The following is an 824-nucleotide window of genomic DNA, read 5'->3' on the forward strand; positions in this document are numbered from 1 at the left end:
AGGCAATTTCATCTAGGGAAATATCAGGGGAAAAGTGGACTGTTCTACTGGGATCATGAACCAATAACCAACTAATCAAGAGATTTCTGGAATTGCTGCTGTTGTTTTGGAAGTTCTAGCCATCCACAGGACCCAGAATTGTCCCCAAAGATGTAAAGCCAGAGAAGACAACTACTTGAAGGTGGTGCGACACTGCACCTGGGACGTGGACACCTAATTGCCTGTGGGCCACTAGAACTATTATTTCCCAGCTGGCTGTGCAGGTTTACTCTGCTCATTTCATCAGTTTGTGATAATATCACCTGACATTTTATCCACTGTTGGATTTTTTTGTCAGAATTTTATGGATAATCTTCTTTTGACTTACATTTCAGTTTTCATTTCTGGAAAATTTAAAAAATATTAAAACCACGCAAAATTTTGTGTATATATGTCAGTTTGAGTTACATTCTAAGTTTAGATAATTTTTGTCTATTTCTGACATGAATATCTGGTAGTAATCTCAAAAACTCTGTGGGACCCAGAACAAGTCCTTCTTGCGTGAGATTGTCCCCACGCATTGCTGGATATGTAGTATCTCTGGCTACTACCCTCTAACTTCCAGCATCTCCCTACTCTTCCACTCCCAACCCCTCATGTTGCCCCTATTAATTAAAATTCTCCCTAAAATGCAATCTGTCTTTCTTTAAGAGTCACTAATAGAGGTTGAAACATGGGATTTGGAGTTAAGAAGATGTGGATTCTAATTTTAATTTGCATGTAGGGGAAATTATTCAAAATTAAGACTGGCTTGGAGTTCAATCCTATACTGAATTCTTAGAAAG

This window comes from Homo sapiens, chromosome 2 (genome assembly GCF_000001405.40).
Source record: "Homo sapiens chromosome 2, GRCh38.p14 Primary Assembly".
NCBI classification, from domain to species: Eukaryota; Metazoa; Chordata; class Mammalia; order Primates; family Hominidae; genus Homo; species Homo sapiens.